The following is a 25154-nucleotide window of genomic DNA, read 5'->3' as shown; positions in this document are numbered from 1 at the left end:
AACCAATCATCCTCCCCAAAACAAACACCAATGAATGGAAATTATAATTGAATTGCTTAAAACCAGTGCTAAAGTGTAAATTTTAAAGATAGTGATGGCAGGGGGCATTGGTTAAAGGATGACAGTAGATTTATCATCAGATGCAATGCATGCTGAAAGAAGTACTGAAAGGAAAAAAAATTGTCAGCATAGAATTCTATACCCAGTGAAAAGATCTTTCAAAAAATAGAGGAAAATCAATACTTTTCCTAACCATACAAAAGCTAAAATAATTTATCACCTACAGAACTACACTATGAGAAATATTAAAGGTAATACTTTTCACACAAAGGAAATGATACCAGATAAAAATCTTGATCTACACAAAAGAAGGAAGAGCACTGGAAATAGTAAGTGGGCAAATGTAAGTGCCTAAAAAAAAAAAAACAAAAACAATTTAAATCTCTTAAAATCAACTGTTTAAAGTGAAAATAATTACAATGTACTATGGACTTTATAAAATATGTAGAAGCAAAGCATATGAAAACAGGAGGGAAGAAAGGAAAATATAAGTCTTTAAGGTTTATAAATGTAATAAAGTGTCACAAATTGAAGACATACTGTGATGTTTGAAGATGTGTACTATGTACCTTAAATCAAGCACTAAATAGCATAACAAAGAGTTTCAGAAAATAGATCAGTAAAAAGTATAACATGCATATTAGTCCACTTTCACACTGCTGATAAAGACATACCTGAGACTGGGTAATTTATACAGGGAAAAGGGTGTATTGGACTTCCAGTTCCACATGGCTGGGGAAGCATCACAATCATGGCGGAAGGCAAGGAAGACCAAGTCACATCTTGAGTGGATGGCAGCAGGCAAAGAGAGAGCTTGTTCACCTTATAAAGCCATCAGATCTCATGAGACTTATTCCCTATCACGAGAACAGCACAGAAAGGCCTGCCCCCATGATTCAATTACCTCCCACGAGGTTCTCCTTCAACATGTGGAAATTCAAATGAGATTTGGGTGGGGGACACAGCCAAACCTTATCGGCATGGAATCAAAAAATATTTAATTAATCCAAAGGGAGTAGAATAAAAGTTAAAAGGAAACAAAGAATAAATGAAACTAAATCAAATACCATGGTGGAAGATTTATATTCAACCATAGTGATAAGCACATACATGCTAGTGGTATATGCATTCCATTTAAAAGGTAGATATTGTCAGATTGGATTTAAAAACCTGAAGTATATGTTGACTACAAGACATACATGTTAAATATAAAGACAAAAATAGGTTAAACACAAAACAATGGTAAAAGATAATCCATACTATCACTAAACAAACGACGAGTGGAGTGACTATATTATTATCAGACAAACTACAATTCAGAATAAAGACTGGAGATAGACTATAATTTTTAATAAAAGAATTGTCAATTCTTCAAGGAGATAAAACACTACTAAATATTTATGCACTGAATAACAAAGCTTTAAAATACATAAAGCAAACACTTATAGATCTACAAAGGAAACAGACAAATACACAACTGTATTGAGAGGTTTCAACAATCTTCTCTCAGTAATAGATGGAACCAGTAGATAGAAGCTTGGTGAGGATATAGACTACTCAATTAAGCAATATTATCAGCCAGCATGAACTACTGGTATTTTAGAACAGAGTACCAATAACAGCAGAAATATATGTTTTCTTCAAGTGAAGAAAAATAAGACTTTTACTAAGATCGACCATATAGTAGGCCATTAAAAAGTCACAATAAATTAAAAAGGATTCAAAGAAGATAAATTTTGTCCTCTGGCTATTAAATATAATAAAGTTAGAAGTCAATAATAGAACAATAACTAGAAGATCTTTGAATATTTGGATACTAAATAACAAAGCTCTAAATAACCCTTGACTCAAAAAAGAAATCAAAAGGGAAAACAAAGTTTTGGACTGAATGAATACATAACCTGTCAAAATTTGTGATTGATACCGATCAAAGTTAACTAGTAAGTGAATTTAGAGGTAAATTTATGACAGTAAATGCCTATTTCATGAAATAAGAAGAGTCTCAAATAAATGAACTTAGTTTCTACCTTGAGAAATCAGAAAAAAAGAATAAATAGTATTCAGAATAAACAAGAAAAGAACTAATACATTTTAGAATATAAATTAATAAAATAGCAAATATGAGAGAAAAATAAGAAAACAAAGTAGTAAAATTCTCTCTGAGCATATTACAGCATTTATAAACTTCTCGCCAGATTGGTCAGAAAGAAGGATACAAATTACTAATATCAGGAATGAAATATATGACATTACTGTAGATTCTACAGATCTTAAAATGATAATAAATTCTATGAATAACTTTATGCCAATAAATTTAACCACCTACCTAAGTAGACAGTAATTTGAGATACACAAATTACCATCTCATTCAGGAAGAAGTAGATAACCTAAGTAGCCATATATATTTTTTTAAGATACACTTGTATCTAAAAAGCTTTTCACAAAGAAAACTAGACTCCAGATGAATTTACTAGGGTAATGTAGCAAATGTTAAAGGAAAAAATAATATCAATTCTACGCAACTGTTCCAGAAAATTAAAGAGGAAGCAATAATTCATAACTCTTTCTGTAAGGCCAGCATTGGTCTGATAACAAAATAGAAAGTTATTACTAAAAAAATTTTGACAGACCAATAGCACTTATGAATGCAGAAACAAAAATTCTAGACAAAACTTTGACAAATTGAATCTGACAACATATATTTTAAAAATTACATCATGAACAAGTGGAGTTTTTTCTACGAATGCAAGTTTAACAGTCAAACATCTATCTATGTAATTCACTGTATTAACATACTTAAAAATAAACTTATATTAACATCTGAATTTAGAAAAAACACTTGACAAAATCAAACACCTATTCCTCAAAAAGGTATCTGAAAATTTAGAATTAAAGGGAACTTCCTCAATCTGATAAATGGCACCTCCAAAAAGCCTTTAAGTAACATCAAACCTACTAGTCAAGGACTGAATGATTTCCTCTTAATATAAGAAACAAGGCCATGTCCATTCTCTTCACTTCTATTTGCATTGTACTGGAGGTTTAGGTATTAGAATAAGGCAAGACAAAGAAACATAGCATATTTGAGCAGAAAAGAAGAAGGAAACCCTATTTATTCACAGATGACATAATCACCTCTGTTGAAAATCTGATGGATTTGACACGGAAGTTACTAGAAGTAACGTTAGTTTAGGAAGGTTGAAGGATATGAGGTCAGTATACAAAAATTAATATATTCCTATATATTAGCAACAAAAATTGGAAATTAGAAAAACAATAGTGATGCAAGACTTTTTCGGGTGCTACTTCACCAGCCAGAGACCTCCGTGACCAGTGGTGCCCCTGCCTGGGCCTCGCTCGGCTCCAGGCTGGCTGCTGGGATTTCTCTGCCCACTCATCCCAACAGTCTGTGGCTGGCTTCCTCCTTGGCCCGAACTCTGTGACCACTATAGCTTCACGCTCAGCCTGAGGTGGGAAGGGGTGTGTGAGCAAAGAGGCCGGGCCACAGTGCACAGCCAGGGCCTGGCTGGAGTAGGTGTGTCACGAGTGACTTCCATGACAGGCTCCAGCTTCCAGATGAGGGGGATGCAGTGGCACCTAAACACTCAGAGATGCCAGGAACCGAAAAGCCCCAAGGGATGTTGTTCCTGCCATCTGCAGTGTGGTGAATGGGGCGTGTTAACAGCTCATTCAGTCCCGCCGCCTTGCTCCAACCCACGGCTCCTGGGCTGGCCTAGCCCCACCACCACTTGCCATCATGTGGGATGGATGCCCAGTGCTGGCAGAGGGCAAGAAAGCTACATTGGTGCCAGTCCTTTAGCACCTATCATTCGGCAGGTCGCAAGATCTTTTCCTGCATCCAAGAAGAATGAGGTTACATGGACAGCTGGAGGGCGAGCAGGGCAGAGAAGAGTTTTACTGAGTGACGGAACATCTCTCAGCGGAGAGGGGTCCTGAAGTGGACAACGCCTACCCGAAGGTGGGTCACCCCCCAACCCAAAGGCAGGTGGCTGTAGTCCCCCAGTGGCTGAGTCTGTTTTTGGTTTTTTTTTTTTTTTTTTTTGAGACGGAGTCTCGCTCTGTGCCCAGGCTACAGTGCAGTGAGTGGCACGATGTCCGCGCTCACTGCAAGCTCCGCCTCCCGGATTCACACCATTCTCCTGCCTCAGCCTCCAGAGTAGCTGGAACTGCAGGCGCCCGCCACCATGCCCGGCTAATTTTTTTTTTTTTTTTTTTTTGTATTTTTTAGGAGAGACGGGGTTTCACCGTGTTAGCCAGGATGGTCTCCATCTCGAGTCTGGGTTTTTTATAAGCCCACAATGGGGGAGGCATAGGCTGTAGGTAGCCATGGAAAAGGCAACATTTGATTGGTTAAAAAGCATTACTCAGAATCAATCCGGAAAGAGCAGGCAAACAGGAATAGAAGTTCTCACTCAGGTTGTGGACTTCATCTGGAACCAGCAGCTTGTTTTTCAGGCTTCAGGCTGTTTTTGGCTTGGAGGTCAGGTTTTACCAGGGACCCGCCTCTATCTGCCCAGACATTTGTCTGCCTCCTGTCGCTATCAATAGCATTGACAATAATATAAAAAATATAAGATATTGCAGGATAAATCTGACAAAACTCATGCAGGAAAATTACAAAACATTGCTAAGAGAAATTAAAGAACACATAAATATGATACACAATATTTATGAATTGGTAAATTCAATATTGTTAAGATGTAAATGTTTCTCAAATCTATAGAGTCAAGGTAAACTCAATCAAAATCCCAGCAGTCACTTTATGTAGAAACTAACAGCTTGGTTCCAAAATTCATATGGAAGTGTGAATGACAAAAATAGTCAAAATAACTTTGGAAAGGAAGAATGAAGTTGTAGAACCTTCCCTATCTGACTTCAAGAATCACTATAATGCTTCACTAACCAAGGCAGCATATAGTGCTGTCAAGACAGATAAATGGAACAGAAAAGAGGCTCCAAAACTAGACCCACCACATATATGGTCAGTTCCTCATCAACAAATTTTCCATAGCAATTCAGTGGAGAAAGAATATTCTTTTCAACAAATGGTTCTGGAATGAATTGGGCATCCATGTGCAAAAAACACAAACTTTAACACTACCTTATATAATGTTACAAAAATTAAACTATATCATAGACCTGAATGCAAAACTTCTAAATCATAAAACTTCTAAATCATAAAGAAATCATAAAACTTCTAAAAGACATACAGAAGAATATTTATGACTTCGAGTTAGGCCAGTGGTTCAATATCAGGGGCAATTTTGTCCTCCACGCCAGGAGATGTTTGCAATATCTGCAGATATTTTTGGCTGTTACAGTTGGGGTTGGGGTAGGAGTTGCTACTCATATCTGCTAGGTAGAGGGCAGGCATGCTAGTAAATACCTTGCGGTGCACAGAAGGCCAAACCTCCTCCTCTGTCCACCACACTTACCTACAGCAACGATTTATCCAGTCCAAAATATTAATAGTGCCAAGCTGATAAATCTTTGGGTTAGGCAAATGTCTTTTTGATATAACACCAAGATTTTACTTGAATAAAGTTAAGAAATTCTCTCATTTGAAAGAAACTTAAGAAAATGAAAGTCAAAGCATAGGCTAAAAAAATTATTTGCAAATTATATCTGATAAAGGGCTTGTATCCAGAATATATATATATATGTAAAATCTTGGCATTTCAAAACTCCATAATAATAAGCCAATAAATATATGGACCAATATTTGAATAGACATTTCACCAAAGAAGGCATATAGGTAGCAAATAAGCATGCACAAAGATTTTCATCATTAGATATTATGTAAATGCAAATTAAAGTCACCGTGAGATATTACCATACACATATTAGAATGTCTAAAAGACTGACGATACTAGGTGTTTGTAGAGATAAGGAACAACTGTAACTATCTTACACTGCTAGTGAGAATGCAAAATTCATACAACACTTTGGAAAACACTTTGAAAATTTTTTTTCAAAAGTTACACACACACCTAGCATATGAACTAGACATTCTATTTCTAAAGGATTACCTAAGACAAACAAGAGCATATGTCCAAATAAAGACTTGTACACAAATATTCATAGCAACTTTATATGAAATAACCAAAAACTGGAAACAACATAAATGTTCATTAACAGGCGAATGGACAAACAAATTGATATCCCCATAAAATGGGATACTACTCAGCAATAAAAATGAATGAATTGCCAATACATACAACAACATAGGTGTATCTCAATTATGCAGAGTGAAAGAAACCAGACATAAAAAGGTACATACTATAGAATTACATTTATTTAAAATTTTAGAAAATGCTAACTAATCTGGAGTGACAGAAAGCAGATCAATTTTTGACTGGGAATGGGGAATTCAGGAGGATCAGAAGGAAAAGATTACATTGGGGCATGAGGAAATTTTTTGAGATTATGGATTGTTCACCATCTTGATTGCAGGAATTGGTTCAAGAGTATACATACGTTAAAAGTTATCAAAGTAAACACTTTATGTGCAATTTATTATATGTAAACTTTACCCAATAAAGCAGTTTTTAAAAATTGATATAAATATATAAATAAAACATAAACATTTATTTATAAGTGAATATGTAAACATTTATTGAATACCATTTACAATGAATGGTTTCTCGGCTTACAATAAATGAATGAAATGATCACTTGTTATAAAATGCTAAAAGTTTTTTAGGAAAAGAAAATAATATACTATTGCACTGGTCATTAAGTAAAAAGTAATAAAAGCAAAAGAAGACCTAAATTTAGATGTATACTTGTAATTTAGTTAAGTATCAAATATACCGTCAATTGAAAAACATGACGAGCTAAATCTCAATCATTTTAGGAGGTTTATTTGCCAAAGTTAAGGATGCGCGCCCAGCGGACAGGTCCATACCTTTCTCCAAAAGAGGGCTCCAAATTTAAAGGGGAAATGGCAGGATATTGAGAGTGGACAATTTTCAGGTAAGGGGGAAGGAGGGGGAAAATAGTCATTCATGCCTTTGTCTGGCTTCCTTCCTGATATACTAAGGTTCTTTTCTTAAATCATTTCTTTCTGTTTGAAGAATTTTTTTTAGGCAGTCTTTAAGAGTGACACTACTAATGACAAGTCCTTTTAGTGTATTCCTTTATCTGAGAATGTTTGTATTTCTACTTCATTCCTGAGGCATAGTTTCTCCAGATATAGATCACAGTTAGCATTTTTTTTCACGGTACTCGTAAAATATTGTGCCTTTTCCTTCTAACCTTCCTAGTTTCAGATGAGAAATCCAATGCCATTTGAATTAGTGTGCCCCTGTTTGTATATGGTATTTATCTGTTTTTAAGACTCTTCGACTTTAGTTTTCAAAAGTTTAATTATATTTTGGTATAGATTTCTTTGAGTTTATTTTGAGTTTGGTGTTTACTCAGTTTCTTGAATGTATAGAAGTATGACTTTACCAAATTTGGAACATTTTTTTCATCGATCATTTCTTCTTAGACTATTTCCACTCCATTCTCCTTCTCTGATCCTCTGAGATTCTGATGATACAAATCTTCAGTCTTTCATAATTGCCCCACATATACCTGAGACTCTTCTTATTATTAATTTTTTTCAGTCTACTTTCTGTCTGTTGTTCAGATTGTGTGGATTCTATGGTTCTGTCCTCAAGTTTACTGAATCTATCATACTCTGTCATCAATATTCTGCTGTTAAACCCATCCAACATTTTATATTTAGGTTTATTATTCATTTGATTATTTTTATAACCTTTTCATCTTTGCTGAGATTTCTTATTTTTCTTTAGTTAAAAAAGAATTTATAATAGATTGTTGAATTATTTTTATGATGACTGTTTGTTTTAATCAACTCATGCTGCCATAACAAAATACCATAGACTGGGTGGTTTAAACTACAAAAATTTATTTTCTCACAGTTCTGGAGGCTGAGAAGTTCAAGAGCAAGGTACCAACTGACTGATTTTCTGGTGAATCCTTTCTTCCTGGCTTTCAGATGGCCTCCTTCTTACTTTGTTCATACATAGCAGAGAGAGAGAGAGAGAGAGAGAGAGAGAGAAACAGAGACAGAGAAAGAATGAGAATGAACATCCTAGTGTCTCTTCTTATAAGAACACAAGTATTATCAGATCAAGGCCCTATTCTTATGACTTTATTGAACCTTAATTACTTCTATAAAGCCCTATCTATAAATATAGTCACATTGGGGGTTAGGACTCACCATATAATTTTAGGCTGACACAGTTTAGTCCATAGCACTACTTTAAAACTCTAGTCAGATAATTCTAACATCTGATGATGTATCTTTGTGTTAGTGTCAGTTGATTACCTTTTCTCATTCAAGTTGTGATTTTCTTGGTTTTTAGTATAATGGATGATTTTTTAATTGTATTCTGAACATTTTGTCTATTATGTTTGGGGACTCTAGGTCCTATTTACGATTTTTTTTTTTAATTTCCATAGGTAGTTACCCTAGTAACTAGGGTAGAACTAGGGTTAACATGTGGGATTTTGTCCCCAAATTACCGTGCTTCACTTTATAATTTTTCCTTCCTACCATGATGCAGAAATCATATATTTTCAGTAGCAGTCATACCTCAAATATTGAATTTTGATGTTTTCCTGGGCTAGCAATATGTAATATGATACTCCCTCCCAATACTGTCAGCAATGAAAAGCTACATCCCCTAGTCAGCCACACAATCACAAGGATACACCACGAATACTCAATAGTGTATTGTGTTAACCAGTTAATTTTGCCCAACTGTAGACCACTATAAGTGTCCTGAGCACTAGCTAGGCTAGGCTATGGTGTTTGGTAGCTTAGGTGTATTAAGGCATTTTCAACTTATGATATTTTCAACTTAACATAGCATTATCAGGATATAACCCCATTGTAAGTCGAGGAGTGTCTGTACGTTTGGGCTGTTATTCCAATGACAGGTTTTGATATTTAGTTTCAGAACCTGTGCAGTGTTATTTTGGTTTTCTTGGGTTAACAGGTGATGCTGAGGCTCACCTGGTTCCTGCTGTTGCTGCCTGAGGGGGTGGGAGTGGTTTTCCCAGGCCAGGCCAACAGGTATCTCTCCACTAGGGAGAGATGTGGTAGGTTCCCCCTATTGATGTCCTGACCTGATCACCCTCTAAATTAGGTTTCTGTAGTGTTTCTGGTCAGAAGAGGAGAGTCTTGAGCCCATGGAAACCAAGATGTTTTCGGGATCAGGCTGCTTGTTGAGACTAGGCCTGTTTTTCACTTCTTTCCACCTGTTCTACTCAGGCCCATTTTATTTATTTATTTATTTATTTATTTATTTATTTATTTATGAGATGGAGTCTCCCTCTATTGCCTGGGATAGAGTGCAGTGGTGAAATCTCGGCTCACTGCCACCTCCGCCTCCTGGATTCAAGCGATTCTTCTGCCTCAGCTTCCCGAGTAGCTGGGACTACAGGCACACGCCACCATCCCCGGCTAGTTTTTTTGTATTTTTAGTAGAGATGGGGTTTCACCATATTTGCCAGACTGGTCTCAAACTCCTGACCTCGTGATGTGCCTGCCTCGGCCTCCCAGAGTGCTGGGATTACAGGCGTGAACCACTGTTCCCAACCTCATGCCCATTTTATATTCTCTTCCCCTTGCCCACATCTTATGGTTGGTGCAAAATTTTACACCCAGTGAATTCTCAATTGTTCCTCATCTTAATTTCTCAACACTTTATTTACTTTCTCTTCAAGGATATTGGTGGAGATGGTTGTGTTTTCGTTCCACTTAGCAGGTTTGCCTAGACAACTGTATACTAGGGATAAATTTCTCAAAGATTGTTAGAAAAAAGGCATGAAGGCCGGATGTGGTGGCTCATGCCTGTAATCCCAGCACTTTGGAAGGCTGAGGCAGGTGGATCACCTGAGGTTGGGGGTTCAAGACCAGCCTGACCAACACGGAGAAACACTGTCTCTACTGAAAACACAAAATTAGGGCCCGGCGTGGTGGCTCACACCTGTAATCCCAGCACTTTGGGAGGCCAAGGCGGGTGGATCACCTAAGGTCAGGAGTTTGAGACCAGCCTGACCAACATGGAGAAACCCCGTCTCTACTAAAAATACAAAATCAGCTGGGCGTAGTGGCACATGTCTGTAATCCCAGCTACTCAGGAGGCTAAGGCAGGAGAATCGCTTGAACCTGAGAGGTGGAGGTTGCTGTGAGCCAAGATCGCGCCATTGCACTCCAGTCTGGGCAACAAGAGCGAAACTCTATCTCCAAAAAAACCAAACAAAAACAAAACAAAACACACATACATACACACACACAAAATTACCTGGGTGTGGTGGCACATGCCTGTAATCCCCGCTACTCAGTAGGCTGGGGCAGGAGAATTGCTTGAACCCAGGAGGCAGAGGTTGTGGTGAGCCGAGATCGCACCGTTGCACTCCAGCCTGGGCAACAAGTGTGAAACTCTGTCTCAAAAAAAAAAAAAAAAAAAGGCATGAATTCTTTCTGTGAGAAGTATCTACCTTCATGAGATTGAAAGAGTGGCTTGGATACAGCATCCTATTCTGTTGAGATGTTTTTGTTTCTATCACACAATTTCTTTTTTAGAGGAAAGGAAGAAAATTGATTGCCTCCCCTACTTGGACTTTTTCGAAAGAAATCTGAAGTATTTCAGAGTACAGTTTTGGCTTTTACATTGCAAAACAGACTATTTCACTGGTATGAGAGGAATCCATAAATGGGTAACTATTTTATCTCCTGTCACAGAGGCTGGCTCAAAAGCAAATGTTCTTTAATTTTGGTTGATAGGATTATAGAATCTCAGAACTGGATGAGACACTAGAGAACAGCTGGTACAAAACCTCTTATGTTACCAGTGTGGAAAATGAGACTATTTTTAAAGTAATGATTTGTCTAAGATCACAAAGAAGTTAGCAGTAAGTGGGTAGTGTGAAATAGCTGTTAAGTATTTGTACTCCTGACTCAGAGAACCCTAAGTTGGAATCCTGGCTCTGTGACTTCCTGGCTGTATAATCTTGGACTCAAGTCCTTTACTTTGTGTAATTTGGTTTCTTCAGTGGTGTTGTGGGGGATTCAGTAAAATAATCCATATTCTGTGCCTGGCAAATAGTAATAGCTCAATAAATGTAATTCTTGCCATTCCAAGGATGGCTCAGCTTTAGCTTAGACTGTTTTCTGTTCCCTTATTACAAATAAGTTACAATTCCCGCATTAGGTCCAGTTTCTGGTTTCATTTATTTATTTGTTAAACATTTGCTGAACATCTGCTGTGTACAGCAGTACTGGAGATACAAAGATGAATACACAGTTCTACTTTCCTTAATTGTGCTCAGTCTGTCATGGGGAGATGGCCCCATAAACAAATGGATCAGTATAGAAGCACGTACAAGGCACAGAGGCCAAGGGAGAGGTGGTATCCCTCCAATCTTGCAAAATTACTTTTAGGATCATTTTATTTTCATCTTTTCACTGTAAGATGTCTGTGCCTACATGTGTTTGCTCTAAGTATGAATGATTGCAAGGTAATTAACTGGCCCAATAGTTTTCAGAAATTTAGAGTTCTAATGTATTAAAACATTTCTATCAATATATGGCCTGAATACCCCTAAAATATCAGAGTTTTAGAATTTGGAGGAACTTGGCAGCCAATATGGCCAAATAGGAACAGCTCCGGTCTACAGCTCCCAGCATGAGCGACGCAGAAGACAGGTGATTTCTGCATTTCCATCTGAGGTACCGGGTTCATCTCACTAGGGAGTGCCAGACAGTGGGCGCAGGACAGTGGGTGCAGCACACCATGTGCCAGCCGAAGCAGGGTGAGGCATTGCCTCACTTGGGAAGCGCAAGGGGTCGGGGAGTTCCCTTTCCTAGTCAAAGAAAGGGGTGACAGACGGCACCTGGAAAATCGGGTCACTCCCACCCCAGTACTGCGCTTTTCCTACAGGCTTAAAAAACGGCACACCAGGAGATTATATCCCGCACATGGCTCAGAGGGTCCTATGCCCACGGAGCCTCATTCATTGCTAGCACAGCAGTCTGAGATCAAACTGCAAGGCGGCAGCGAGGCTGGGGGAGGGGCGCCCGCCATTGCCCAGCCTTGCTTAGGTAAACAAAGCAGCCAGGAAGCTCCAACTGGGTGGAGCCCACCACAGCTCAAGGACGCCTGCCTGCCTCTGTAGGCTCCACCTCTGGGGGCAGGGCACAGACAAACAAAAAGACAGCAGTAACCTCTGCAGACTTAAATGTCCATGTCTGACAGCTTTGAAGAGAGCAGTGGTTCTCCCAGCATGCAGCTGGAGATCTGAGAAAGGGCAGACTGCCTCCTCAAGTGGGTCCCTAACCCCTGACCCCCGAGCAGCCTAACTGGGAGGCACCCCCCAGTAGGGGCAGACTGACACCTCACACCTCACACGGCCAGGTACTCCTCTGAGACAAAACTTCCAGAGGAACGATCAGACAGCAGCATTTGTGGTTCATGAAATTCTGCTGTTCTGTGGCCACCGCTGTTCTGTGGCCAGGCAAACAGGGTCTGGAGTGGACCTCTAGCAAACTCCAACAGACCTGCAGCTGAGGGTCCTGTCTGTTAGAAGGAAAACTAACAAACAGAAAGGACATCCACACCAAAAACCCATCTGTACATCACCATCATCAAAGACCAAAAGTAGATAAAACCACAAAGATGGGGAAAAAACAGAGCAGAAAAACTGGAAACTCTAAAAAGCAGAGCGCCTCTCCTCCTCCAAAGGAATGCAGTTCCTCACCAGCAACGGAACAAAGCTGGATGGAGAATGACTTTGACGAGTTGAGAGAAGAAGGCTTCAGACAATCAAACTACTCCGGCTACAGGGGGAAATTCAAACCAAAGGCAAAGAAGGTAAAAACTTTGAAAAAAATTTAGACGAATGTATAACTAGAATAACCAATACAGAGAAGTGCTTAAAGGAGCTGATGGAGCTGAAAGCCAAGCCTCGAGAACTACGTGAAGAATGCAAGAGCCTCAGGAGCCGATGCGATCAACTGGAAGAAAGGGTATCAGTGATGGAAGATGAAATGAATGAAATGAAGTGAGAAGGGAAGTTTAGAGAAAAAAGAATAAAAAGAAATGAACAAAGCCTCCAAGAAATATGGGACTATGTGAAAAGACCAAATCTATGTCTGATTGGTGTACCTGAAAGTGACAGGGAGAATGGAACCAAGTTGGAAAACACTCTGCAGGATGTTATCCAGGAGAACTTCCCCAATCTAGCAAGGCAGGCCAACATTCAGATTCAGGAAATACAGAGAATGCCACAAAGATACTCCTTGAGAACAGCAACTCCAAGACACATAATTGTCAGATTCACCAAAGTTGAAATGAAGGAAAAAATATTAAGGGCAGCCAGAGAGAAAGGTCGGGTTACCCACAAAGGGAAGCCCATCAGACTAACAGCGGATCTCTTGGCAGAAACTCTACAAGCCAGAAGAGAGTGGGGGCCAATATCCAACATTCATAAAGAAAAGAATTTTCAACCCAGAATTTCATATCCAGCCAAACTAAGCTTCATAAGTGAAGGAGAAGTAAAATACTTTACAGGCAAGCAAATGCTGAGAGATTATGTCACCATCAGGCCTGCCCTAAAAGAGCTCCTGAAGGAAGCACTAAACATGGAAAGGAAGAGCCGGTACCAGCCACTGCAAAATCATGCCAAATTGTAAAGACCATCGAGGCTAGGAAGAAACTGCATCAACTAACGAGCAAAATAAGCAGCTAACATCATAATGACAGGATCAAATTCACACATAACAATATTAACTTTAAATGTAAATGGACTAAATGCTCCAATTAAAAGACACAGACTGGCAAATTGGATAAAGAGTCAAGACCCATCAGTGTGCTGTATTCAGGAAACCCATCTCATGTGCAGAGACACATGTAGGCTCAAAATAAAAGGATGGAGGAAGATCTACCAAGCAAATGGAAAACAAAAAAAAGCAGGGGTTGCAATCCTAGTCTCTGATAAAACAGACTTTAAACCAACAAAGATCAAAAGAGACAAAGAGGCCATTACATAATGGTAAAGGGATCAATTCAACAAGAAGAGCTAACTATCCTAAATATATATGCACCCAATACGGGAGCACTCAGATTCATAAAGCAAGTCCTGAGTGACCTACAAAGAGGCTTAGACTCCCACACAATAATAATGGGAGACTTTAACACCCCACTGTCAACATTAGACAGATCAATGAGACAGAAAGTTAACAAGGATACCCAGGAATTGAACTCAGCTCTGCACCAAGCGGACCTAATAGACATCTACAGAACTCTCCTCCCCAAATCAACAGAATATACATTTTTTTCAGCACCACACCACATCTATTCCAAAATTGACCACATAGTTGGAAGTAAAGCTCTCCTCAGCAAATGGAAAAGATCAGAAATTATAACAAACTGTCTCTCAGACCACAGTACAATCAAACTAGAACTCAGGATTAAGAAACTCACTCAAAACCGCTCAACTACATGCAAACTGAACAACCTGCTCCTGAATGACTACTGGGTACATAACAAAATGAAGGCAGAAATAAAGATGTTCTTTGAAACCAACGAGAACAAAGACACAACATACCAGAATCTCTGGGACACATTCAAAGCAGTGTGTAGCGGGAAATTTATAGCACTAAATACCCACAGGAGAAAGCAGGAAAGATCCAAAATTGACACCCTAACATCACAATTAAAAGAACTGGAAAAGCAAGAGCAAACACATTCAAAAGCTAGCAGAAGGCAAGAAATAACTAAAATCAGAGCAGAACTGAAGGAAATAGAGACACAAAAAACCCTTCAAAAAATCAATGAATCCAGGAGCTGGTTTTTTGAAAGGATCAACAAAATTGATAGACTGCTAGCAAGACTAATAAAGAAGAAAAGAGAGAAGAATCAAACAGACACAATAAAAAATGATAAAGGGGATATCACCACCAATCCCACAGAAATACAAACTACCATCAGAGAATACTACAAACACCTCTACTCAAATAAACTAGAAAATCTAGAAGAAATGGATAAATTCCTTGACACATACACCCTCCCAAGACTAAACCTTGAAGAAGTTGAATCTCTGAATAGACCAATAACAGGCTCTGAAATTGAGGCAATAATCAATAGCTTACCAACTAAATAGAGTCCAGGACCAGATGGATTCACAGCCGAATTCTACCAGAGGTACAAGGAGGAACTGGTACCATTCCTCCTGAAACTATTCCAATCAATAGAAAAAGAGGGAATCCTCCCTAACTCATTTTATGAGGCCAGCATCATCCTGATACCAAAGCTGGGCAGAGACACAACCAAAAAAAGAGAATTTTAGACCAATATCCTTGATGAACATTGATGCAAAAATCCTCAATAAAATACTGGCAAACTGAATCCGGCAGTACATCAAAAAGCTTATCCACCATGATCAAGTGGGCTTCATCCCTGGGATGCAAGGCTGGTTCAATATACACAAATCAATAAATGTAATCCAGCACATAAACAGAACCAAAGACAAAAACCACATGATTATCTCAATAGATGCAGAAAAGGCCTTTGACAAAATTCAACAGCCCTTCATGCTAAAAACTCTCAATAAATTAAGTACTGATGGGACATATCTCAAAATAATAAGAGCTATCTATGACAAACCCACAGCCAATATCATACTGAATGGGCAAAAACTGGAAGCATTCCCTTTGAAAACTGGCACAACACAGGGATGCCCTCTCTCACCACTCCTATTCAACATAGTGTTGGAAGTTCTGGCCAGGGCAATTAGGCAGGAGAAGGAAATAAAGGGTATTCAATTAGGAAAAGAGGAAGTCAAATTGTGCCTGTTTGCAGATGACATGATCGTATATCTAGAAAAACCCATCGTCTCAGCCCAAAATCTCCTTAAGCTGATAAGCACCTTCAGCAAAGTCTCAGGATACAAAATCAATGTACAAAAATCACAAGCATTCTTATACACCAATAACAGACAAACAGAGAGCCAAATCAAGAGTGAACTCCCATTCACAATTGCTTCAAAGGGAATAAAATACCTAGGAATCCACCTTACAAGGGACGTGAAGGACCTCTTCAAGGAGAACTACAAACCACTGCTCAATGAAATAAAAGAGGATACAAAGAAATGGAAGAACATTCCATGCTCATGGGTAGGAAGAATCAGTATCGTGAAAATTGCCTTACTGCCCAAGGTAATTTATAGATTCAATGCCATCCCCATCAAGCTACCAATGACTTTCTTCACAGAATTGGAAAAAACTGCTTTAAAGTTCATATGGAACCAAAAAAGAGCCTGCATCGCCAAGTCAATCCTAAGACAAAAGAACAAAGCTGGAGGCATCATGCTACCTGACTTCAAACTATACTACAAGGCTACAGTAACCAAAACAGCATGGTACTGGTACCAAAACAGAGATATATATCAATGGAACAGAACAGAGCCCTCAGAAATAACGCCGCATATCTACAACTATCTGATCTTTGACAAAGCTGAGAAAAAACAAGCAATGGGGAAAGGATTCCCTATTTAATAAATGGTGCTGGGAAAACTGGCTAGCCATATGTAGAAAGCTGAAACTGAATCCATTCATTACACCTTATACAAAAATTAATTCAAGATGGATTAAAGACTTAAACGTTAGACCTAAAACCATAAAAACCCTAGAAGAAAACCTAGGCATTACCATTCAGGACATAGGCATGGGCAAGGACTTCATGTCTAAAACACCAAAAGCAGTGGCAACAAAAGCCAAGATTGACAAATGGGATCTAATTAAACCAAAGAGCTTCTGCACAGCAAAAGAAACTACCATCAGAGTGAACAGGCAACCTACAAAATGGGAGAACATTTTCACAACCTACTCATCTGACAAAGGGCTAATATCCAGAGTCTACAATGAACTCAAACGAATTTACAAGAAAAAAACAACCCCATCAAAAAGTGGGCAAAGGACATGAACAGACACTTCTCAAAAGAAGACATTTATGCAGCCAAAAAACACATGAAAAAATGCTCACCATCACTGGCCATCAGAGAAATGCAAATCAAAACTACAATGAGATACCATCTCACACCAGTTAGAGTGGCAATCATTAAAAAGTCAGGAAACAACAGGTGCTGGAGAGGATGTGGAGAAATAGGAACACTTTTACACTGTTGGTGGGACTGTAAACTAGTTCAACCATTGTGGAAGTCAGTGTGGCGATTCCTCAGGGATCTAGAACTAGAAATACCATTTGACCCAGCCATCCCATTACTGGGTATATACCCAAAGGACTATAAATCATGCTGCTATAAAGACATATGCACACATATGTTTATTGCCGCACTATTCACAATAGCAAAGACTTGGAACCAACCCAAATGTCCAACAATGATAGACTGGATTAAGAAAATATGGCACATATACACCATGGAATACTATGCAGCCATAAAAAACGATGAGTTCATGTCCTTTGTAGGGACATGGATGAAATTGGAAATCATCATTCTCAGTAAACTATTGCAAGGACAAAAAACCAAACACCGCATGTTCTCACTCATAGGTGGGAATTGAACAATGAGAACACATGGATACAGGAAGGGGAACATCACACTCTGGGGACTGTTGCGGGGTGGGGGGAGGGGGGAGGGATAGCATTAGGAGATATACCTAATGCTAAATGACGAGTTAATGGGTGCAGCACACCAGCATGGCACATGTATACTTATGTAACTAACCTGCACATTGTGCACATGTACCCTAAAACTTAAAGTATAATAATAATAATAATAAAAAAAAGAATTTGGAGGAACTTTTTGTTCAGAGGCTCCAGCAATCTGACTAGGCTGAATAGTTAGGTCAACCACATTTTCCAGTACGTTTAGTCACAACAGGGTGACTAGTTCATTCATTCATAGTCAATTTGCCATTTCATTATCAGATTGAATGTGGAAAACCCAGTTTTATTTTTATTTTTTCTCTGTCTTTATTTTTTGACTTTTATTTTCGGTTCAGGGGTACATGTGCAGGTTTGTTATATAGGTAAACTTTTCTCACAAGGGTTTGTTGTACAGATTTTTTCATCATCTGGGTACTTAGCTTTGTACCCAATGGCAATTTTTTCTGATCTTCTCCCTCCTCCCACCTTCCACCCTCAAGGAGGCCTCAGTGTCTATTATTCCCCTCTATGTGTCCATGTATTCTCCTTATTTAGCTCCCACTTGTAAGTGAAAACATGTGGTATTTGGTTTTCTGTTCTTCTGTTACCTTGCTAAGGATAATGGCCTCCAGCTCTATCCATGTCCCTGCAAAGGACATGATCTTATTCTTTTTTATGGCTGTGTAGTATTCCATGGTGTATATGTACCATGTTTTCTTTATCTTGTCTAACATTGGTGGGCATTTAGGTTGATTCCTTGTCTTTGCTATTGTGAATAGTGCTACAGTGAACATATGTGTGCATCTGTCTTTATGATAGAATGATTTATATTCCTTTGGGTATAAACCCAGTAATGGAATTGCTGGGTCAAATGGTAGTTCTGTTTTTAGCTCTTTGGGGAATCACCACACTGCTTTCCACAATGGTTGAACTAATTTGCACTCCCACCAACAGTTTATAAGTGTTCACTTTTCTCTGCAACCTTGCCAGCATGTTATTTTTTGACTTTATCATAATAGCCACTCTGACTGGTGTGAGATGGTATTTCATTGCGGTTTTGATTTGCATTTCTCTAACGATCAGTGATATTGAGCTTTTTCTCATATGCTTGTTGGCCACATGTATGTCCTCTTTTGAAAAGTGTCTGATCATGTATTTTGCCCATTTTTTTAATGGGGGGAACATTGTTTTAAGAACAAGTTCTAATTAATGAATGCTTCCTAGCTTAGGAAGCAGATGCATGTTTTATAAGAGAAATCTGGAGTGCTAGGGGAGAACAGAGGATGTAAAGGTTGATTTTACTTGTTAGCCCAGGATCATGGAAGAACTTTAACCTGGGTTTGAAAGGTAAAAATAGGGGTTGGCCATTATGATGGATACCCCAGTCAGTGGAGTTTTATTAGTGGAAGGCAGGCTTCAGTAACAGTACACAGCCTGGCATGGTGGGTCCATGAACTTGTGGCGGGGGAGGAGGAAGAGACAGACAGGGTTGGAGCAAAATCATTAGGGCTATGACCATCATGCTAAGGAGGATGGACTTTGGATTTCATGCTTCAGGAGTTAGAGAATGGGTGTTGTTTAGGGGGAGAATTTCAAGAGCAAGCTTTCAGTTACTATCAGTGTCAATTAATTCTCTGCCTTTTGCACATCTGCATCTTAAAGGATGGGGATATTAAACACACTTAATGCCAGTTTTTTTTTTTTTTGTCACAATAGCTCATAGACATAGATCCTTAACATGAGAGTGCTTCATAAAAGTACTCTCAGGGAGGTCTCAGGGACATATAATGAGGGGCCCCAGTCTGGTTATGGCTCTCAGGAATGTCATCTAAAGCACCTTGCTATTCCCATGCTGATCGAGAACCACTTTGACTTGGCTGCTGCAGCCTTGCCTTTGGATTGAATAATGATGTCCTCTGCCATTTTCAGAAAAGAAATGACCAGAACCTGCCATGCTGTATTGGATTTTTTTTTTTTCCTGTAGATTTTTTTTTTAAGTAGCCCAGGTAGGAAATGAGTAGTCTCTGTCAAGAGCCTTTATTTAGTTTAGGCTGAAGTCCAGGCATAAAACCGTCATTAAAAGATGAAAACAGAGTAGTCACTTTTCAGGATTAACTGGTTCTGGGCTGTATTTGCGTAAGCAAGTTAATGAGCTGGAAAGTCTCATTTTTACAAGTGCTAAATTGTAAAGGCACTACGGAGACAGAGTCTTCAATGTTATTGATGTCTGTTCAAATGAGAGATGGAAATCTCATGGAATACCAAGGAAGCCTCCAATTTAAAATACGTCTTCTAACTGTTAGCAACATCATTTCAATCCCAGTAAAGAGGGAGATGGCAGAGAACATTTTTCATTTTGTTTATTGCATATTTTCCAGTATGCATGGATAATGCCAAATTACCAGCTAGAAAAAGTATTTCATGAAATTTTTCTGTCCAAGATGGCTGAAATTTTTAAATAGAATTGTCTCTCTAGTTCCCTTACTGCCTTCGCATCCTCCCTCTCTTTCTCTCATTCTCTCTTCCTCCTTTCCTTTTTATAAGCACCTAAAATATGCAAATAAAAATTTGTGACCAAATTTACAAAGAAAGAAAATGCAAGTTTTATTCTTAAGAAGCTCCAAGTCTATTGGAGGAAACAGATGTATAAAACACATAAGCAGATTATCACAGTGCAGCATGATAAAGATTTAGTACCAATTATGTACTGCCCCAAAAAAAGGTTCCCTAAGTTATTTGGGGTGAAAGTGGGGTTCTAACTTGTCCTTCGAAGATCTCTGGGAGACAAAAACAGAATGGTTCATCCCCTGGTGAATGTTTGATGAAAGCAAGCTTTATGAAGAAGGTACAACTAGCTATTCTTCCAAAACACATGGCTAATTGGATAATTGAGGAGAGTGAACGATTACCAAATCTTTGCATCTGACTTTTAAAAGAACTTTTATGCTTATGTTTGCATCTGGCAGTGCCATCCTAGAAAGTCTTAGCTCTTTAAATCAAATGAAGGCCTAATTTAGAAGGGACTGAGCATGATCGCCTCTCACAGAATTTCATTTCCTGCAGGAATGCAGAGTATCAACTTCCAGACTGAATCCAAAATCCAGGCTAAGTTCTGCTGCATAAATAGCAATTACATGATTAAGAGTTTTGGCTTAAAAGACATTCCATGTGTTTAATTTGTACAGGCCCATAGGTTACACTAATTTCAAAAATCATTTTTCATATCACATCTAACCATGAACTCTAATCAATTTTCAAGCCCAGGAGGAAGCTACTATTATCCCCATTTTACTGCAAAGTGTCTGATGTTTGGGGAGGTTAAATGCTTGTGTTAACACCACTAGTCTGAGTATGAAAAAACTGGAAGTTGCCTTTCTTTCAGTTCTGCTCTCCACATGTGGAGCAGAAAAAAGAGGAGACTGAAATGGGTTAAGATCGGGGGTCCCAGGGACTAGCACCTGGCTGGTCATTAGTGACAGCCAGTGACATATTGACAAAGAAATGGGCCCTTTGGGTCATGTGAGAGTTATATATGTAATAACAAACAAGAAAACTTCACGATACTATAGAATTCACTCATTCAGTCATCTGAAAAATCTTTTAAAATATCCTACTGTATACAATAAACTCTTGCAGACACTGGGGTATAGCAGTGAACAAAAAAGACAAAAATCTGCTTTCCTCAGGTCACAGCCCAGAATTGGGAGTGAGACAACAAACAAATATATAGTATGTGAGGTGGAGGCAAGTTTTGTGGAGAACACTAAAGCTGAGAAGGGTGGCAGGGGTGTTATTTTAAATAGAGGAGCCAGGAAGCGCTGATAAGGTGAGAACTAAAGGAGTGAACATCTGGTCTGGGAAAGCTGTTGTAGGCAGAGCGGATAGCAGGCACAAAGGCACTGGGGTGGGAGCCAGCCTGGTGGGTTTGAGTCACAGCCAGGAGCCAGTTTGCAGGGTGGAGGGAACATAGTGAGGAGCTAAGGAAATGAGGTCAGCAAGGTGCCAGAGCCTGTCCCTGGGGCCTGCTGACCTTGGGCTTTGCACTCCACTCAAACGGTGCAGAGGACTGATGTGAGCTATTGTATTTCAGCAGGTTTATTCTGACAACTACATTGAGACTATGCTGAAGGGGCCAAGCGCTGCAACAAAGATACCTGTTAGGAGGTCACTGTGTTAGTCATGGGAGGGAGACACAGTTCAATGAACCAAAATGATAATTCCTAATATGAGACATGTGATCTTGTCATGGACATCAGTGCCTCTGTCTGGAAGATGCCTACCCACTCTTTTCTGTTTCATCTTCAGCTCCTGGATATTGGTGTTCTGCTGATCCTTCATACTTTTCACTGCATTGATTACCTGAACTCTGCAAGAGATTTTGGACTCCAAATCAAAGATCAAAGCGTCTTGGATTAGTCATTTGATCTTGGCTTCTGAGGGCTCATTTGTAGAGTGGTGAGAATAATATCTAACTTGCTAATCTTTCAGAGACATTCTGAGAGACATATGCAAAAGAAACTTGTAAATAAAAAGCACTGTACAAATTAGGGGTGTTCATCTACTTCATAACATTACTGTTATTTTCCTAATGATGCTACAACAATCTCCATTCCATGAGCATCAATGTGAACCATCTATAACCAATGCCTTTTCTTTGTCCCCCAATCCCTATTGTTTCCTGAACTTATTCATGTTATTTTCTTTTCTTTTTTTTTTTCCACAATGTGTCTCTCATTTGTCCTTCTTTTTTAAACATCTGAGTCCAGGTCCTTGTAGGGTGATATTGAGGCCATTCAAATAACTGTTTGGGGAACTTCCCTGCATCCTGTGTTCCACACTCTCCCCCAACAAAATCTAAGTTCTCTTGGCCCAGCAGTTGGCTTCCTTCCCAATGCAATCTCTTCCTCTTCTTCCAATCTCATTTCTTCTGGTCTGGTACATGAACCCCATGGTTCCAGGATTTACTTACAGTCACCCACCATATCTTATGTTTTCCTATTTCTATGGTTTGGATTAACCACTTCAGTTTGAAATAATATCCCTTTCTTTCCTCCTGTCAAAAACTATCCAATCTTTCCTAAAGCCTTTTCTGTTGCTCCTACTAATTCCTCTGTTACTCCTAGTACCCTAATTCCTCACTCACTGAGTCACTAAGTATTTGTGCCATATTGCTATTACTCACCTCCTTGTGTATTCATGCCTTGTTTCACAGTAAGACCATCTTTAGGTAATCCTCAGTCCTGAGCACAGAACACTAATTATTCAGAAGGTGAAGTTTTTGGGTTCCTATAACTTCCTGTAAGTATCTAGGTTCCTATAAGTATCTGCAAAGTCAGCATGGTTTTTGAAACACAAAAGGTGATTCAGAACTAAACAGACGAGGTTTCAATCCCAGATCCCCCGACTGTTCACTGTGTGATCTTGGATAAATTTCCTAACATTTCTGAGCCCAGTTTCTCCAGCTTTAAAAGGGTTATAATAGTAGCCCTACCATATGGGATTGCTCTGAGAATTGAAAATACTTATGTAAAGTGCCTATCCAAACTGGTCATAGGAGTAAATATTCAATAAAATAAATCCATTATTATAATTATTACTGGTATTTTCATAAAATAATTGTCATTTGCCGTGAGTGAGCTTCCAGACTCACTTCTTGCTGGGCTCAACTTCCCCACTGTTAGATTAAGGGAGCTGAACTAGATCAGTGTTTTTCAAATGCTTTAAAATTATGCCCCTTTTACTTCTTAAAAAAAACCCCACATTTTTCTTTAGTGTCATTTAAAATTAAAAAGTAATTAAAATATTGCATTTAAAAAGGATGCAATAATTAGGACAAACATGATCATTTTCAAATCAGAACCCAAAGATGGAACTCAAAGAATTAGATACCCTCTCATTTCTTTTCTAGATCTAATATCTGGCCTAATCCTAAAATTTTTGAGGAGGAGAAAAGCTCACCTATGTCTAATTTTTTTCTGTTATGAAATGCAACTAGACTTTGGATGCCTGGCATCTTTTGTCTCTCCAAAATCTCTCTTTACATAAAAACCTTATTTCCATCATTTAAACATACATGGGGGCCAGGCGCGGTGGCTCAGGCCTGTAATCCTAGCACTTTGGGAGGCTGAGGTGGGCAGATCACTTGAGGTCAGGGGTTTGAGACCAGTCTGGTCAACACGGTGAAAACCCATCTCTACTAAAAATACAAAAATTAGCCGGGCATGGTGGTGGGCACCTGTAATCCCAGCTACTTGGAAGGCTGAGGCAGGAGAATCACTTGAACCCAGAAGGTGGAGGTTTCAGTGAGCTGAGATCGCACCACTGCATTCCAGTCTGGGAGACAGAGGGAGACTCCATCTCAAATAATATTAATAAAAATAAATAAACATACATGGGGACCTTGGAGTTTCTTTCTTCCTCTCTATTATTTGCTAGCACCGGCCCAGCCCTTGCTCTGAGGAGCGTCGGTGCACATTTTGACCATCAAAAATCCCTCCTTATAGCATGCTCTGTAACTGGCACCTCTCTTCGAGTTTTAAGTAGTGGGAACTGTGGACTCTGGAGGGTAGAAAAATTTACACATGGTAAATACTATTGATTTTTCTGGCCTGGAGATTAATTTAGAAAAAAGGAATCTGTTGTTAGTATGAAGGTGATGTGCGATGATGGAGAAAGGAAGGGGGCAGAAATCAATCCCTGAGAGCCGCCAATAATGTACTACCATCAGTATCATTTTGACAGGTTTACAATCAAATGCTATTGATTTCTCATCAGCCTTTTCAGTTAGCTTCAGTGGTGAGGTTTCTGGGTTTCGAAAAATAAAGGGTTTCTAACAGACTTTTTTTGCTTTAGCTTTTGCACCCAGGAAAGGGCATTGTGAGTTGCTGAGTCAGCCTTCACTTGTTGTGTTTTTGTGCATTGTAGTTTGGCTTGATGGTGACGGAAGGAGTTAGTATGGAGGGAAGCATCTGTGTGGGATCCAGATAAGCATCTTTGATGAAAGGAACAGTGTCACTTAGAGAATGGGACTTTCCCAAAGCAACAGTATACAAGCAAGGTGAACCTGAGGGCTTTGGGGTAGAGGCAATTAGTAGGTGACTAATCTCTGAACACATGCCACATGCTGATGCCTTACCTGTGCCATCTCATTTACATCTCATAATCTCCAAATTACAGATAAAGAATTGAAATTCAGAGTTCAACTAATTCCCTAGGCTACACATCTGAAAAATGCAGCTGGGATTTGATCTCAAGACTTAGAAATTGTTTCCATTTTTTCCCTAGAACTTTTAGTTCATTCACATGTCACTCTCAGTGGTGGGTGGTGAGTTGTCTGGCTCATCAATTCCAGGGATTTGGATGAACTGGAAAAGACTTGAAAATTTGTCT

At 39.0% G+C, this 25154-nt stretch overlaps 1 protein-coding gene across 1 annotated transcript in view; it reads left to right on the top strand.

Annotated features, from left to right (window-relative positions):
* The window catches only part of NBAS (NBAS subunit of NRZ tethering complex), a 782426-nt gene extending 760117 nt beyond the window's left edge, over positions 1-22309 (top strand). The window contains exon 54 of the transcript XR_007076390.1: positions 22071-22309. The gene's annotated coding sequence lies outside the window, so the exon portion shown is untranslated. The remainder of the gene's footprint in view (positions 1-22070) is intronic.

Source organism: Homo sapiens, chromosome 2, assembly GCF_000001405.40.
Source record: "Homo sapiens chromosome 2, GRCh38.p14 Primary Assembly".
Classification (NCBI taxonomy): domain Eukaryota; kingdom Metazoa; phylum Chordata; class Mammalia; order Primates; family Hominidae; genus Homo; species Homo sapiens.
The sequence above is the reverse complement of the archived record's forward strand: the minus strand, read 5'-3'. Positions and strand labels throughout refer to the sequence as shown.